The sequence below is a fragment of the Homo sapiens genome, chromosome 3, assembly GCF_000001405.40.
Source record: "Homo sapiens chromosome 3, GRCh38.p14 Primary Assembly".
Lineage (NCBI taxonomy): Eukaryota > Metazoa > Chordata > Mammalia > Primates > Hominidae > Homo > Homo sapiens.
In genome coordinates, this window is record NC_000003.12 from 119172883 (window position 1) to 119187730 (window position 14848).

At 42.7% G+C, this 14848-nt stretch overlaps 1 protein-coding gene across 1 annotated transcript in view; it reads left to right on the top strand.

The window, feature by feature from the left end:
• The first annotated feature begins 715 nt into the window (after positions 1 to 715).
• Positions 716 to 14848, top strand: part of UPK1B (uroplakin 1B) — a 31546-nt gene continuing 17413 nt past the window's right edge. The window contains exons 1-2 of the mRNA NM_006952.4: positions 716 to 756; positions 13832 to 13928. Coding sequence (NP_008883.2) covers positions 13860 to 13928 — 69 coding nt within the window. The 5' untranslated portion in view covers positions 716 to 756; positions 13832 to 13859. The remainder of the gene's footprint in view (positions 757 to 13831; positions 13929 to 14848) is intronic.

The window sequence follows — 14848 nt, forward strand, 5'->3', positions numbered from 1 at the left end:
GTTATGCAGCCATTAAAATAATGTTCTGGGTGCCATGTATAACACATGATGGCTCCAGAAGTCAGGGAAGAAGGAAAAAAGAAGGGAAGGGAAGAGAAGAGAAAGGGAGGGAAGAAGAGGGGAGGGAAGAATTGGACATCAGATAATCACTTGAGCCCTCTCTCTCCGTGAATTTTTCCCAATCTGTTTCTTTCCACATCTCTTGCTCCTTATCAGTCTTTGGGCCACCTACAGTATGAGCATTACTTGGGCAATTACTGTCTCTCTGAATTTGGCATATGCAAATTATAGAAACTAAAACTGGACATGGCCCTACACAGGTAAGCACATATCAGCATCGCTGTGAGCGGTCAGGACTAACAAGCCTTCAACACACAAAAGCAGGAGTAAGGATCAAATTACACAAATCAAATCAAATCAAATCAAAATAAAATCCCTGAGTTTGTATTCCAGTAAAGCCCAAACCTAGGAGGGATCCAGGAAAGCGATGAGTGTGGCTGTCAAGGTGCTTCCATCTGTCAGAGTCACACATTCCAAAGCAGCAGAAATCAACTGACAGCCTCCGGTTACTCCCCCGCCTCAGCGAGGCAGGGCAGGCAGCGGAAAGCTCAGCCCATGTGAGGTGCCTCCTGCCAATCACAGACTACCCTTCCCTGGTCCTGGAGGTTCAAAGAATTGCAGGAGGGTAGAAAAGCACCTGGGTCGGGTGCAGACTGCGGAGCGGGCCCTACCGTGTGCGCAGAAAGAGGAGGCGCTGTGAGTAGACCGCTTTCCCTCTGCAGGGAATCTCCCGGGCTCAAGGGCTGGGTTGCTCTCCTGGGAGGGAAGCTAGCAGACTGGGAGGGAAAGGGGAAGAAGTTAGATTCTTGATTCATAAAGTCTGTCATTTTTTTCTTTGTAATTTAGGGTATTGTGACTGTCCTGTTCTCTTTTACTTTGAACCGTTGGAATTGCTTTCTTAATACCCTTGATATAAGTCTTGTTCTCATTAAACTTCTGGAGATATTACGCAGCCATCCTGCTTTCAACCTCAGATATCCCCACAGAAAGAACAAGAAAATCCAAGCACCCCGAGAAACCCTATATCTCCTGATTAAATCGCACATAGACAGTCACCTTTGTAGACCCCCAATTTCCTTGTGGAGTCAGAAAAGCAATAGAAAGTTTAACGAAATAGCTCGTGTTATTTCTTAATAATCTGTTCAGGCTAGCAGAGAGAAAGTTTCTTGGTCTTCTTGTCAGAAATCATTTGGTCCTGCCAACCTGTAATGAAATGTGTGAAGCAATTTACTCCCAGTTATTCTCTGCAAACACTTCTGCTTAATAAATGTGTCAGTTGAAGTAAGTCAACAAAGTAGCTTTATCTACGCAATGTTATTTTTACATAATTTGTTTTTACTCCTTACCAATTCTTTGCTCCACCATGATCTGCAGGACATAAAGATATTTTTCATTCTGATCACATTTTCACACAAAATACAAATTTAAGTTTCAAATAATGCTAGTATTATTTTATGTTTGCATTTGTTTATAAACCTAAAACTCCACTTCTAACTAGTTTTAAAGATTTTTAAGCCATTTAAGAATTCGTAGCCAGTCACAGTGGCACATGCCTGCAGTTCCAGCTATTCGGGAAGCTGAGGCCACGTGATCAGGAGTTCTAGTCCAGGCTGGGCAACATAGTGAGATCCTGTCTCTAAAAAAAATAAAAATAAATTTTTAAAGAAGTTTTGTTAACTTGAATGTCTTCTTTTAATGAAAGACAACGTTTCTTGAACATTTCTTGCCTGAGTTGCTAAGCACAACAGGAAAGAACTCATTAGGTTTTATAGATATACATACTTTGAGTATAAACAAAATTTAGGTTACATAGTTTTCAGACCCTATGAAGAAGTGGATTTTCTTTTTATTAACCTTCTCAGTGAGGAGAAAAATTTCTTACTTTGCTTTCTGCTCCAACAGATTGTTTTGCTTTCTGCTATAAAATAGTCTTTAAAATCAACTCACCTATTTTTTTTTTTTTTAACTGCTGGGAAGAATCATAGACTTTTACATCCAAAGGGGACCTTAGACATCATTTAATCAAGGGGAAAAAAAAGAAACTCAGAACTTTTTTTTTCTTTTATTTTCTTTTTTTTTTTTTTTTTTTTTTTTTTTTTTTTTTTGAGACGGAGTCACTCTGAGGCCCAGGCTGGAGTGCAGTGGCGTGATCTCTGCTCACTGCAAGCTCTGCCTCCCGGGTAGATGCCATTCTCCTGCCTCAGCCTCCCGAGTAGCTGGGACTACAGGTGTCTGCCACCACGCCCGGCCAATTTTTTGTATTTTTAGTAGAGACGGGGTTTCACCGTGTTAGCCAAGATGGTCTCAATCTCCTGACCTCGTGATCCATCCACCTCAGCCTCCCAAAGTGCTGAGATTACAGGCTTGAGCCACCGCACCCGGCCAAAACTCAGAACTTCTTTTTGACTTCTCCTGCTTACAATCTTAACCAGAGTAAACACCAGCCAGCCTTTAAATATGCTCTGGAATTTGTGCCTGATAGCCATGCAGGCTGCCCACAAACTTGATGGGCCACCATTCACCAACTGGGACAGAGACCACATTGGTGAGGGGGCACCATCATCACACACCGCCCTACCCGCCTGCCCACCCCCTCCCCCCCGCCCCAAGGACTCTCCATAGTACTCCTGCCCTGGAGCTGGGCATCTCTCTGGCAATGCCCACACCTGAGGCCCTCGTGCAACTGAGTGCTCCTGAGCCATTGCTTACAGCTAGTCCCTGATTTCCAATGGGTGGATGACTCCCATCATACTGGGAGCACCAGGAATCAAGAGCAGTGCTGTCCAGTAAAACTTTCTGTGATGAGGGAAATGTTCTAGATAATAGACACTAACCACATGTATCTAGGGAGTGCTTGAGATGTGGTTGGAGCAACTGAGGAACTGATTTTTACTTTTATTTAATTGAATTCTTTTGACTTTAAATAACTGCATGCAACTACTAACTACTGTATTAGTCAACACAGGTTTAGAGCTTTAAAGCAAGAAAAACTTATGGGCACTGTGAGCCATGGGTGACAGCCCTGGGAGAAACCTCCTCTTTTTGTTATTTCCAGGGACTTATCCTACCTTAAGTTGAAGCAGACCAGCAATTGTTGTGACCTACAATCTCCACACCCATCTTTACTCTGAGCCAAGGAAGTGTCTGTTCTTGTGCTGAGTTTCAGGGTGAGGGCTAAGGCAATCGCATATTGTGTTTCTTTGTTTCTTCCTCTCCTATTTTTCCTTTTCTTTTTTTCTCCTTTGTTAATTCAAATTTCTCTAGCATGAACTAAAGTTTGAGGTGTGGTTTGTGTGTTCTCTGGTACAACAAACTTGGGTGAGGAAAAGAGGTAATGAACTTGAAAAAATGATCTCATGCTTACTGGGCGAGTCTCACTTCTTTTTCTTCTGCTTTGCAAATTGGTTTGTTTAGTGAGCAATTGTTTTTAGACCTTTCAATGTGTCTGGAAACATCAACACTACGGGTATGATTAATTTTTATAGGAAAACAAACTGAGTGAAAGCACAATAAAGAAAAAACAAGAAATATAATTCTAGCTTTAAAAAAATCTGCACTCTTTAAAGCAAAGGAACTCCCAGGGTATTGAGCAATTTGAGTAAATCATCATCATACCAGGCCACAGGGCAGTTTTCCCACAGGGCGGGGTGCACAGGGGCTATTCCTTTACATGGAAAATATTTCGAGGTGAGTTGCGTACTTTCAGTCTGGGGCGTTCCATCTCTAACGCGGGCAGTTGCTGCTCTGCCCTCTGCCTTCCACCGCTTTCCACTTGTTAAATGTAACTCATCCCATTGGTTTCCTTCCCACCCCTGCCAGATAAGTAATCCAATATAGTCAGGGAGGCATTGTTTTAGAATAACGTGGGGAGGGTTCAGAAGACCACATATCTAAAACAGTTTCTACATACTGTGGGCTAAAAGAGAAGGCAGGAAAGAGGACACATCATATCATTAGAAGTCAGTATAGCCAGAGAGACAGACCCAAACCCCCAAATCATAAGTTACGAGGTTTGTCTTTTTAGGTTCTACCCTCTCCTTGGGTCTCTTTCCTTCTCATGGTGTCTTCCCTCGCCCTTTGAAAATTAAATAAGAGAAGGGAGCTGATAAATGAGGCATTGACATGGATGGCTCATGAAACTCAATGTGCCTCTTTTATATGAGCTTGCATTTTAATCAGGAATGAAGGAGTGAGTCTCAAATTGTGGCATTCAGAAGTTAGGGTAAACGGTGAGGAAGCCTTTGAATGAAGGAAAAGGATAGAAGGCTTTCTCCCTGCCAGCTTTGTTTATGTGGCTCCCTTTCTGGCTTATCTTGTAGTGAGTCTCATGGGTAGGCTCACAGGTGGGAGGTCAAGAGTTTCTCTTAATTTAAAAAGACGTAAAGGGAAGTGGATCTCCCTACCTTAAAAAGAATAATCATTAGTGACAAACCCCATAGAAGGCTGGGTTAAGAGTTAGGAAACCTGGACTTGAATCTTAACTCTTTTAATAACACATCATGATCGTGAACAAGTCACTTTCTCTCTGTGAGCCTTAAATTTCTCACCTGTACAAAGCCTCCAAGTTTGCAGCCAGAACTGATGTATCATGCCGTGAACAGGCACCTGGCCAATAACTGTCCTAGGATGAATGACACTTTAATGTCTCTCAAATTACATATCTTCTAAGACAAACAAAAACTACCAAAAGTGTAGTCATTGACTTCTAAGTGTGACACCCGTCAATTAATTTAAAAGTTTATAATTTTGCTTTTTAATGCAATTATTTGTTAAATTGGCTTTTTTGATGCACAGCAATCCAATTTTTGTGGCTTCAGAATATCTTATTAAACAAACTTGGGTGAAGAAAAGACGTAACAACGTACCAGACTATATTGCTGTGGCAGAGGCTAGTATGGAAGAAAAGCCATAAACACATATCCACAATGGTTTCAGCTTCCCTGGAGAGCTATTTGCTATAGGCAGAGAGAGGGATATAGGGAAGGAAGGATAATTCTGGGTAAGAGAAGTTGAGGAGAGAAGAGGTTTTTCAGCTGGGCTTCGGAAGGTGGTAAAGAGTTCGATAGGCAGAAATGGGAGAAGGGATTCCAAAGACAGGGACACCCTAAGCACAGCATGGTGGCATGACCAGGACACCAAAGGGTTGGGGGGGTGGGGCACGCAGTGAAAAATGGCAGGCAGGCCATTTAGAACCTGGATGGGTGCTGCCTTGAATACACACTGAGGAGTTTGTACTTTATCTCTTAGGTGGTCCAACCACTCCTCCACTGGCTGAATGGAAAATATAATAGTTGGGTCTGGCCAAATACTATAGACTGGTCTTTCAGAAGGGAACAGGAGCAAATCTGGATTCAAAGAAACTGGTCAGCAACAGAGAGTGGGGGGACAAGTGATGAACCTGGCAATAGGAAGTAAGTAGGAGCTGGTGGCTGGGCTTGTAAGTGCAGAGGGAATGACCGAGGGCTCTCCTTTGAATTTAGGCTACAGGGAACCTTTGAAGGGTTCTAAGCAGGGGGGAGATATAAATTCAGAGCTGTGTTTTAGGACAGTGGATCTCAAGATTGGCTAAGTGGCTGGCACTTGGAAGCCATGTTTATCTTTGTAGAATACCAGAAAATTTTGGTCTACTAAATTTAAAATAAGTAAGTAGATCATTTTGGCCTAAATTCATACCAAAAACTAGATTTTAGCATAGACAGGTGGTAGTAGCATCCACAATTTAAGAAAAATGTGTAAGAGGAAAATGTTTAAAATCACAAATTTTTATAGTAATTTTTCCTCAAATTAGGAAATGACTGGAATCATTCAATATTGGCATCAAAACATGTTGTCCCAGTAAATGGAACATCTGTGTTTTGGAGGATCATTTGAGAACCTCTGCTTGAGAAAGTTCACCATGGAAGCACTGTATGGAATGGAAACAGAAAATGTTTAATTCATCTGATCCAGAAGTTAGGGGCTGGCAGTGGGAATTGGTAAAATGGTATCAGGAGACATCAGAAAATGATCATATGTGCTTCTATCAAAAATATACATCAATCCCAATTGGGATGGTGTGTTACTCAAGGTTCTTTCAGAGATAGAACCAAAAGGAGATACATAAAGAGAGAGAGAGGCAACGTATGGTGGCTCACGCCTATAATCTCCACACTTTGGAAGGCCAAGTCTTGAGGACAGGAGTTCAAGACCAGCCTGGGCAACATGATGAAACCCCTTCTCTACAAAAAATTTAAAAATTAGCCAGACATTGTGCATGCACCTGTGGTCCTAGCTACTTGGGAGGCTGAAGCAGGAGGATCACTTGAGCCTAGGAAGTCAAGGCTGCAGTGAGATATGATTGTGCCACTGCACTCCCTGGGTGACACACAAAGACCCTGTTGAGAGAGAGAGAGGGAGAGAGAGAGAGGGAGATATATATATATATATATATATATATATATATATATATATATATATTAATTCTAAGGAATTAACCTATGTGATGTGATTGTGGGGGCTGACAAGTCCGAAATCTATACAGCAGGTGGGCAACCTGAAAATTTGGGGAAGAGTTGATGTTGCAGTCTTTTTTTTTTTTTTTTTTTTGAGACGGAGTCTCGCTCTGTCGCCCAGGCTGGAGTTCAGTGGCCTGATCTTGGCTCACTGCAAGCTCGGCCTCCCGGGTTCACGCCATTCTCCTGCCTCAGCCTCCCAAGTGGCTGGGACTACAGGCGCCTGCCACCACGCCCGGCTAACTTTGTATTTTTGGTAGAGTCGGGGTTTCACCGTGTTAGCCAGGATGGTCTCCATCTCCTGACCTCGTGATCCACCCGCCTCGGCCTCCCAGAGTGCGGGGATTACAGGCGTGAGCCACCACGCCCGGCTTTTTTTTTTTTTTTTTTTTTTTTTTTTTTTTTTTTTGAGACGAGTGCAATGGCGCAATCTCGGCTCATGGCAAACTCCGCCTCTCCCGTTCAAGCGATTCTCCCGCCTCAGCCTCCTGAGTAGCTGGGATTACAGGCATGCGCCACCACCCCCAGCTAATTTTGTATTTTTAGTAGAGACGAGGTTTCTCCGTGTTGGTCAGGCTGGTCTCGAACTACCAACCTCAGGTGATCTACCAACCTCAGGTGATCTGCCCACCTCAGCATCCCAAAGTGCTGGGATTACAGGCGTGAGCCACCGCGCTTGGCCTGATGTTGCAGACTTAAACCTAAAATCTGCATACTGAAAACTTAAGAGTTTCTCTGTTACAGTCCTCTTAGGGCAGAAATGCTGCTTCTTCAGGAAACATCAGTTTTTGCTCTTAAGGTTTTCGGCTGATTGGAGGAGGCCAGCCACGTTATGGAGGGTAATCTGCTTTACTGCTTTACTCAAAGTCTACTGATTTAAACGTTAATCACATCTAAAGAATATCTTCACAGCAATATCTAGACTGATATCTGACCAAACACCATATCCAAGCCAATCCCACCATATCCCAGCAATATCTAGACTGATACTGACCAAACACCATATCCCAGCCAAGTTGACATACAAAATTAACCAGCGCAAGGTGTTCATTACAATACTTCTTTATCAGGCAGGCAGAGACAAAACTCAAGAAGCTATTAACAAAGGCAAAACTACTACCAAGCCCTAGAGAACACCACAGTTTATATTCTGTGTATAGAGAAGTCACCATTTGTCCTTCCCTTTTGTTCTTTCTCCGTGCCTATCCTCTATGGAAAGGTCAACAAATTCATAATGTCTTTTTTTTTTTTTAAATATCCATTAGTGTGGAACTGTGTCAAAGCTTTTCTTTTTTAACCTAAAAAAAAGTGCATTACTCTACCCCTATGCACAGGCATTTATTAATCTTCAAAGAACCCTAAACATCAGCCAGGCCTGATCTTTTCCTTTTGTAGAAATTATGTCACCTTTCCTCTAAGTGTGCCAGGAAAGCAGCTCTTCCTAAAGATCCATCCAGCTAATGTATTATAAAAGTAAACTCACTTGTCTCAGTTTTCCAGGACTTTTCTAGACATCTTCCATTGAATGAGGGGCAGGGGGAAGTCTTTGACACAGACTTTGTAAGGTCAGCTTACACGTTGTGACCAGTTTTTCAACATCACTTTTGAGTGTCCTCTTACTTCTTGGGTAACTGTCTTCTGAGCTCAGTAATTTGCCTATTTCTTTCTTTTCCTTTAGCTCTAGAATAGTAGTTTCCAATCGTTCTGGGGCTAGCTATGTGTTTAGGAGGTTTAGAGCTGGTGAGAAGATGCTCTGTGAGCCCAGGATTCCTACTCTCGTTTCAGCCAGAGAAGTACCATTCTGATCTGATTTCATATATTAGAGTTCCCTACTGAAATCATATTTCCCTATTTCCTTTGAAAATGTTGCTCTGTATCAAAAAAATAATAATAATAAACCACTGGTTTTAGGTACCTTCACCAACCACTGGGCTATTAGCTCTAGTCTGTCTCCTTTATAAGACAAAAATAAGCAAAATTAGTATTGGGTAACTAATATTGTATTAAAACTTCACATATATTCTCATTTAATTTTCATAGTAACCCTTGAAGTTAAGTATTACTATACTCATTTGAAGATAAAGCTCGAGAAGATTAAGTAACTTCTTGGGGTCACAAAACTAGTAAGTGGTAGAGCTAAGATTCAAACCCAGGTCTATCCAAAGCCCACATTCGTTCCACTTCACCATATTCTCTAACTTGCTCTTCAACAAAGTTCTAGGCAAATTATTAATCTGCACACTCATTTATTCAAATAAACATTATTTATTTACTTTATCTTTTTATTTAGCAAAACAATTGAGTGCGCCTACTACATGTCAGGTACTATGCCACTTTGGACCTAGAAAGACAAATAAAACAGGGTCCCAAATGCCTCCTCCTACTTTGGAGACTCTTGCAATAAAGTGCAGGATGCCCTTCACAGGTTGGCAATGGGAGGAAAGAATGCAAAAGGGCAGCAGAGCAGAATACTCTCTGAGTAATGTCTGTGTCAGGGAGAAAGTGGCCCCAGGACAAGGACAACCTCAGGGGCCATCTCTGCATCAACTTGCAGTGTGGGGCAGAGGCCTTAGAGCTGGCCAAAGGCAGAGGGATGAGGCCCAATGGCGAGTGTTAACTGTTCAGGAATGCTAATGGCATGCAAGGCGGGCCCCTCCCATGTGGATGTGCAGCTTGGTACCTGACTCTGGCCGCACCCCAAGCACAACTAGGAAGTGTTTTTCCTTTTCTCTCATGAATTCATCTATGGAAAATAAAAAGAAGTACAAATGGGTATCTTGTGTAAGCCCTCCTGGTCCCTCGAGCAGAGCAGCCCCTGTGCAGTGAACAGAGGGAAGGTGGAAGGAAGGCTGCTTCTCCTCAATCTAAGAGCCCTTGGCTGTGAGACCAGTCACTGTTAAAACCTCCCTTCTATCCCCCTGGGGTCACTGATATATAAAACAAAATCATAACCCAATACCCTGCCCTTCCTAAATATCCTCTGGTTATAATTAATAGTTTCTTATATGTGTAAACAATCTTAGTGCTTACCTATTACTTTTGTATCTTTTATCTCATTTAGTGATCACAGCAACTCCATCTAACAAGTTATTGTCTACTAATTTTATAAACGAGGAAGTAGATACTAAGGAAAACATTGTCCAACTTTACACAGTAATGATAATGACAGCACAAAGCTGGGACTTGAACTCTGGCATTCTGATGCCAAGTCCAGTGTGGTCACCATTATACTACAGATATTAGACTATGCTGTGAGCCACTGGAAGCCTACACTTGGCTCCCTCTTGACATCTGTGGCCATTTGGGGGATGCAGCAAATGTTTTAGGTCCTCTGGACACCAACCTAGTCTAAAATACAAGTGGCCAAGTAGAAGCTATGAAATGCTAACCTCTCATTGACTTGCACATTGCACATTTTACTTCTAAGAATTCTGGTCTTGGGGGTAGGTGGATGAGCTGTAGATTTTTGATACATCCAGACAGGTTTTCTGGAAAAGCATGTGGGTACAGCACTGAGTTTGGGGGAAATATGCAAATATGAGCATCGTGTCCAGGGGCTAAAGAGACAAGAAGCTGGAGATGTAAGTGAAGAAAAGCCTAGTGTTTCTGACCTTTGCAAAGGTAGAGTCTCCTGAGCAGGGAAATGTGTCTGTTCTCTCCACTCCAGGTGTTTCTATTTCTACTGAAAGCATTTGCTATGTAGCAAGACTTTATAAACTGTAGAGTGTTTAGCAAATGATCTGGCGCCAGGCAGACCTGTGTTTCAGTCTCAGCTTCTGCACTTTCTAGCAATGTGGCCTTGGGCAAATTAATCTCTCCAAGCTTCCCTTTTTTTTTGTTTTTTTTTTTTTTGGAGATGGAGTTTTGCTCTGTTGCCCAGTGCAGTGGCCCAATCATGGCTCACCACAACCTCCACCTCCCAGGTTCAAGCGATTCTCCTGACTCAGCCTCCCAAGTAGCTGGGATTACAGGCACCCGCCACCATGCTCGGCTAATTTTTGTATTTTTAGTAGAGACGGGGTTTTGCCATGTTGGCCAGGCTGGTCTCGAACTCCTCACCTCAGGTGATCTGCCCACCTCAGCCTCCCAAAGTGCTGGGATTACAGGCGTGAACCACCATGCCCGGCCCCTTTTCTTTATACAAACAATGGCAAGACAACAGCTTCTCCCCCTAGATCCTTCAGAAGCAACATAGCCCTGATTTTAGCCTGGTGAGACTCATTTTAGACCTCTGCCCTCCAGAACTGTAAGATACATTTCTGTTATTTTAAGCCACGAAGTTCGTGGTAATTTGTTTCAGCAGCAATAGGAAATGCAGACCTGAAAAACCCATCTCTCAGGTCTGTTGAGAAGATGAATATCAAATGCCTAACATAGTGCCCAGAGCATTGTAAGTGCCCAATAAATGGCAGTTTTCATCACTATTTCCTTATCTTGGAAGACAGGAGTAGCTAAATTATCATGTGCCATTGATACCAAAGGCCTAAGGGAGAAGAAGAGAATGCATAGTGAAAAAGGAGAACATTTTAGTGGCCAGAAAATTCAGAATATCTTGCCCACTGACATATCACCACCTTCCAATAACCAACCCACAGCTGGGCTGCCTCCCTGGCATTTCTGTCATGTCCTTGCCTAGGTTTCTTCAATTTATGCTTTTCTTTTTGCTCAGAGCAAGTTTCTACCTTCCTTCTTTTCTCCCACTTTTATCTGCGTTTTCCACCCTAATTGTGACTCCTGCAATTCTCCCATAGAATATTCATTTGCTCTTTCCCCTTTGTCTAAACTCTGTGTGGCAGAGTCATCTCTGGAAAAGTCTGTACGTCACGGGGCATAATTGGGTCACCCAGGCCACCTCCCTTGATCGGGGCCCCTGCAGTTCCTTTCTGGACCAATAAAGCCCCTCAGCGGTGCCTCTGTCTTTCTCCACAGCCCTCCTTGTCCCCTTGATGTGCACGGTCATTTTTCCTTTGAACCCACGCTGTAATTGCACTTTAAACTCCTTGAGGCCAGGCGCAGTGGCTCACGCCTGTAATCCCAGCACTTTAGGAGGCCAAGGCAGGAAGATCACAAGGTCAGGAGTTCGAGACCAGCCTGGCCAATATGGTGGAACCCCATCTCTACTAAAAATACAAAAAAAAAAAAAAAAGCCAGGTGTGGCGGTGGGCACCTGTAGTCCCAGCTACTAGGGAGGCTGAGGCAGGACAATAGCTTGAACCTGAGAGGCGGAGGTTGCAGTGAGCCAAGATCGTGCCACTGCACTGCAGCCTGGGCAACAGAGCAAGACTCTGTCTCAAAAAATAATAATAATAATAAAAATAAACTTCTTGAAAGAAGAAATTGTCTTATTTCACACAGTACATAATCAGTACGAGTTGATATCGGTGCTGAATTTGGCCTCTACTGATTTCTGCCCTTTCCTCTCTATGCTTCTGTTATCTGAACTCCTACGTTTCACAGTCTATTTACTTTTGTCTCTAGTTTAGATACTAACCCAACTGGTCAGGAATAATGTCTGTACATACCAGTAATGAACTTTACAATGTGACTCAACCAGCTACATGAGTAAGTTTCCCCCTTGGGGGAGTTTGTGCAGTCTAACACGCAACAATAACTGGAAAGAATGAATGAAATTTCTAAGCAGAAAGAAATGAATGGCATTTCTAAGCAGAAACTACACAGAGACGCAATGGCCCAGATTCTTCCATTTCTCCAGCAAACATGAATTGAGTACCCACTGTGTGCCAAATTCTGAGCTAAAAGTGCTCATAAATTTTAACTGAACTTGTCACAGCTACCCAGGTAAACAGATAAAGGAAAACATTTAGAGATGTCTAAACTTACTTGGAAGGTTGTTAATACTTACAGTGTAACAATGAGGTTAAAATTTAGCAAGGCTTGAGACAAATAGAAGGTTTGCCTCCCACTGCTACCCTACAAAACTAGGACTTTGACCAAATTGACTGGTTTGCTATCTTGTGGGCACCTTGCTCTTCTGTCTCTACTCCCTAACTTTTCCTTTCTCTTTACCTGGAATGTCACCCACCCCCACCTCACTCCCACACATATCCACCTCTACTCTACATATCAAACCATACACATCCTGCAAGACTTACGTCTTCCCGCCTCAGGACTCTCACAATATTTCATCTCACTACATGTAGTATAATTGTGTGGGAATGCATCTTAGTTTCCCTACTAACGCAAAAAATCCTAGAATACAATAATCTCCCTTACATATCTTTGTATGCCTCAGAATGCATATTGAACCATTTAATACATTTTTTATTTACAGCAGGAATGCATGAATTGATTAATTAAATGTTGAGAGCTGTAGATGGCTTTTCTCAAGGTGCTTCAAGTGCAGAAGCCCAAGTGATTGACCCACACACTTACCTTTGTGTTCCTTCCAGAAAATCCTCAGGGAGGTGAGAGACCCATGTTCAGCTGTGTATGGCACCAAAGTCTATACATAGTTTCTGGGAGTCACTGTGGGCTGTGGGGAAGCACGTGGACTCTGGAGTCACACACACCAAGGTCTCTAGCCTAGCTCTGCCACTTACTGGTTGTGTGACCCCAGGGAACTTAATTTACAAATTTAAGCTTTAGTTTCCTCATCTGCAAAATGGAGCCTCCTCGCCTTTCTTCTTTTGCTACCGAACTGGGTTATGAGAATTAGATGCGTGCATGCAAAGCACCTGGTAGAGTGGCACACACCTGGCAGAAGGAAGTAAATTCTAGTCCCCGTTTTCACTTACCCTCATATACAACGGGGCACTTTTTTATTTGCCAACTATTTCTTTGAAGATAATAAAAGAGTCAGAAAATGATAGTTTTTAAAAGCACCCTGCAGTCCACATGGGAACCAACCACTACCTCTGGCCATGAGTTTACCCTTTGGGTTTCCATTTGTCATGGCCAAGGGCAGTGAGGGCTATGCCAGGGACCCTCAGTGTGTTTGGCCCTACCCAATCACCATCTCAGGTCTACCCCTTGTGCATTCCACCTTGCGGGGCTCAGTCCACCACTCAGAAGGATGCATTCTGCACACTCCTTGCCTGAAAGAACTCCTGAAAGGCACTGACCAGGCTCTGGAAGGCTATATTCTTTTCATTCTTTATAAAAGTTATGTGATTACCAAGCTCAATAATCAAATGTCCTTCATCGCTAAAAGATTATATGGCTTTGGTTTGGATGCTTTGGGAACAAGGAGGCAATACGCAATGGCTTGGTTTACTCATGTTACAGAAACTGTAGCAGTTATTTGGTAATGCTTTCAACAGTGCCTTCAGCTTGTGGGAAATCCCGAAGATGGCCAAAGACAACTCAACTGTTCGTTGCTTCCAGGGCCTGCTGATTTTTGGAAATGTGATTATTGGTGTAAGTAATGATTATTTTCCAGGAAATTCTGCACTTCCTGTAATCATAATTCTAGATGAATCAAAAGTAAGAGTTTAAAGGAAAATAATGCTGTGATTACTGGCTTCCTATATTTTTGCTTCATTTTAAGAAATGTGTTAGTAAATATGCTAGCTAGAATTTAACTGTATGTCAAAAGATCATGGTTGAAAAAGTAGATATTTTCCTCCCAACTTTAAAATATAAGTATCTAAAAGGAGTCATGTCAACCATAGTCAGTGTCTAAACACTCTGACTACGAACACACTTCACTATTTCTTTTCTATGTCACCTTGGTTTGATTTCCATGGGACTCTGCTGTTAAGGTTTTTTGGGACAGATGCTTGCATCTTGTTCTTCTCATACAGAGGCCAGTACCAGGGTGTAAGAATAATACAGAGGCCATACTGTGTGGGTCTGGTGGCATAGAAGAACATTTGTTTTGGAGTCCAGAGCTCTTGGCCCAGCTCTCCCTCTGACTCCCCATATGACTCTGGCCATCACCTTTCAAGGCTGAGATTCCTCATCTATAAAATGTGGGTGTTGGCAAAGATAAGCAGCAAGGTTCCTCTCAGCTGTCATTGATAAATATGACCAGGACCAGCTCAAATATTACAACCCAGAAATGTGGGTCATGACATGGGGGCAGGGGGAGATCATTCTCATACCAGAAAGCATTGTTTGAGTGATTCATGCCCCAAGGACATTGTGGATGGTCTGAAATTGTGTGGGTCTGTTACTAAATAGACAGAATAACATGTGAAGGGATGTATGCAACCAGTTAGTAGGATGGAAGTAGTTGTTTGATTTCCTGGCAATGGGGAGTTTAGATTAGTTGCATAAAGCCTGTGCAGGAAAGGGAGCCAGTCACTCTTACCTTCCCCACCCTCCACCCCCTTTCC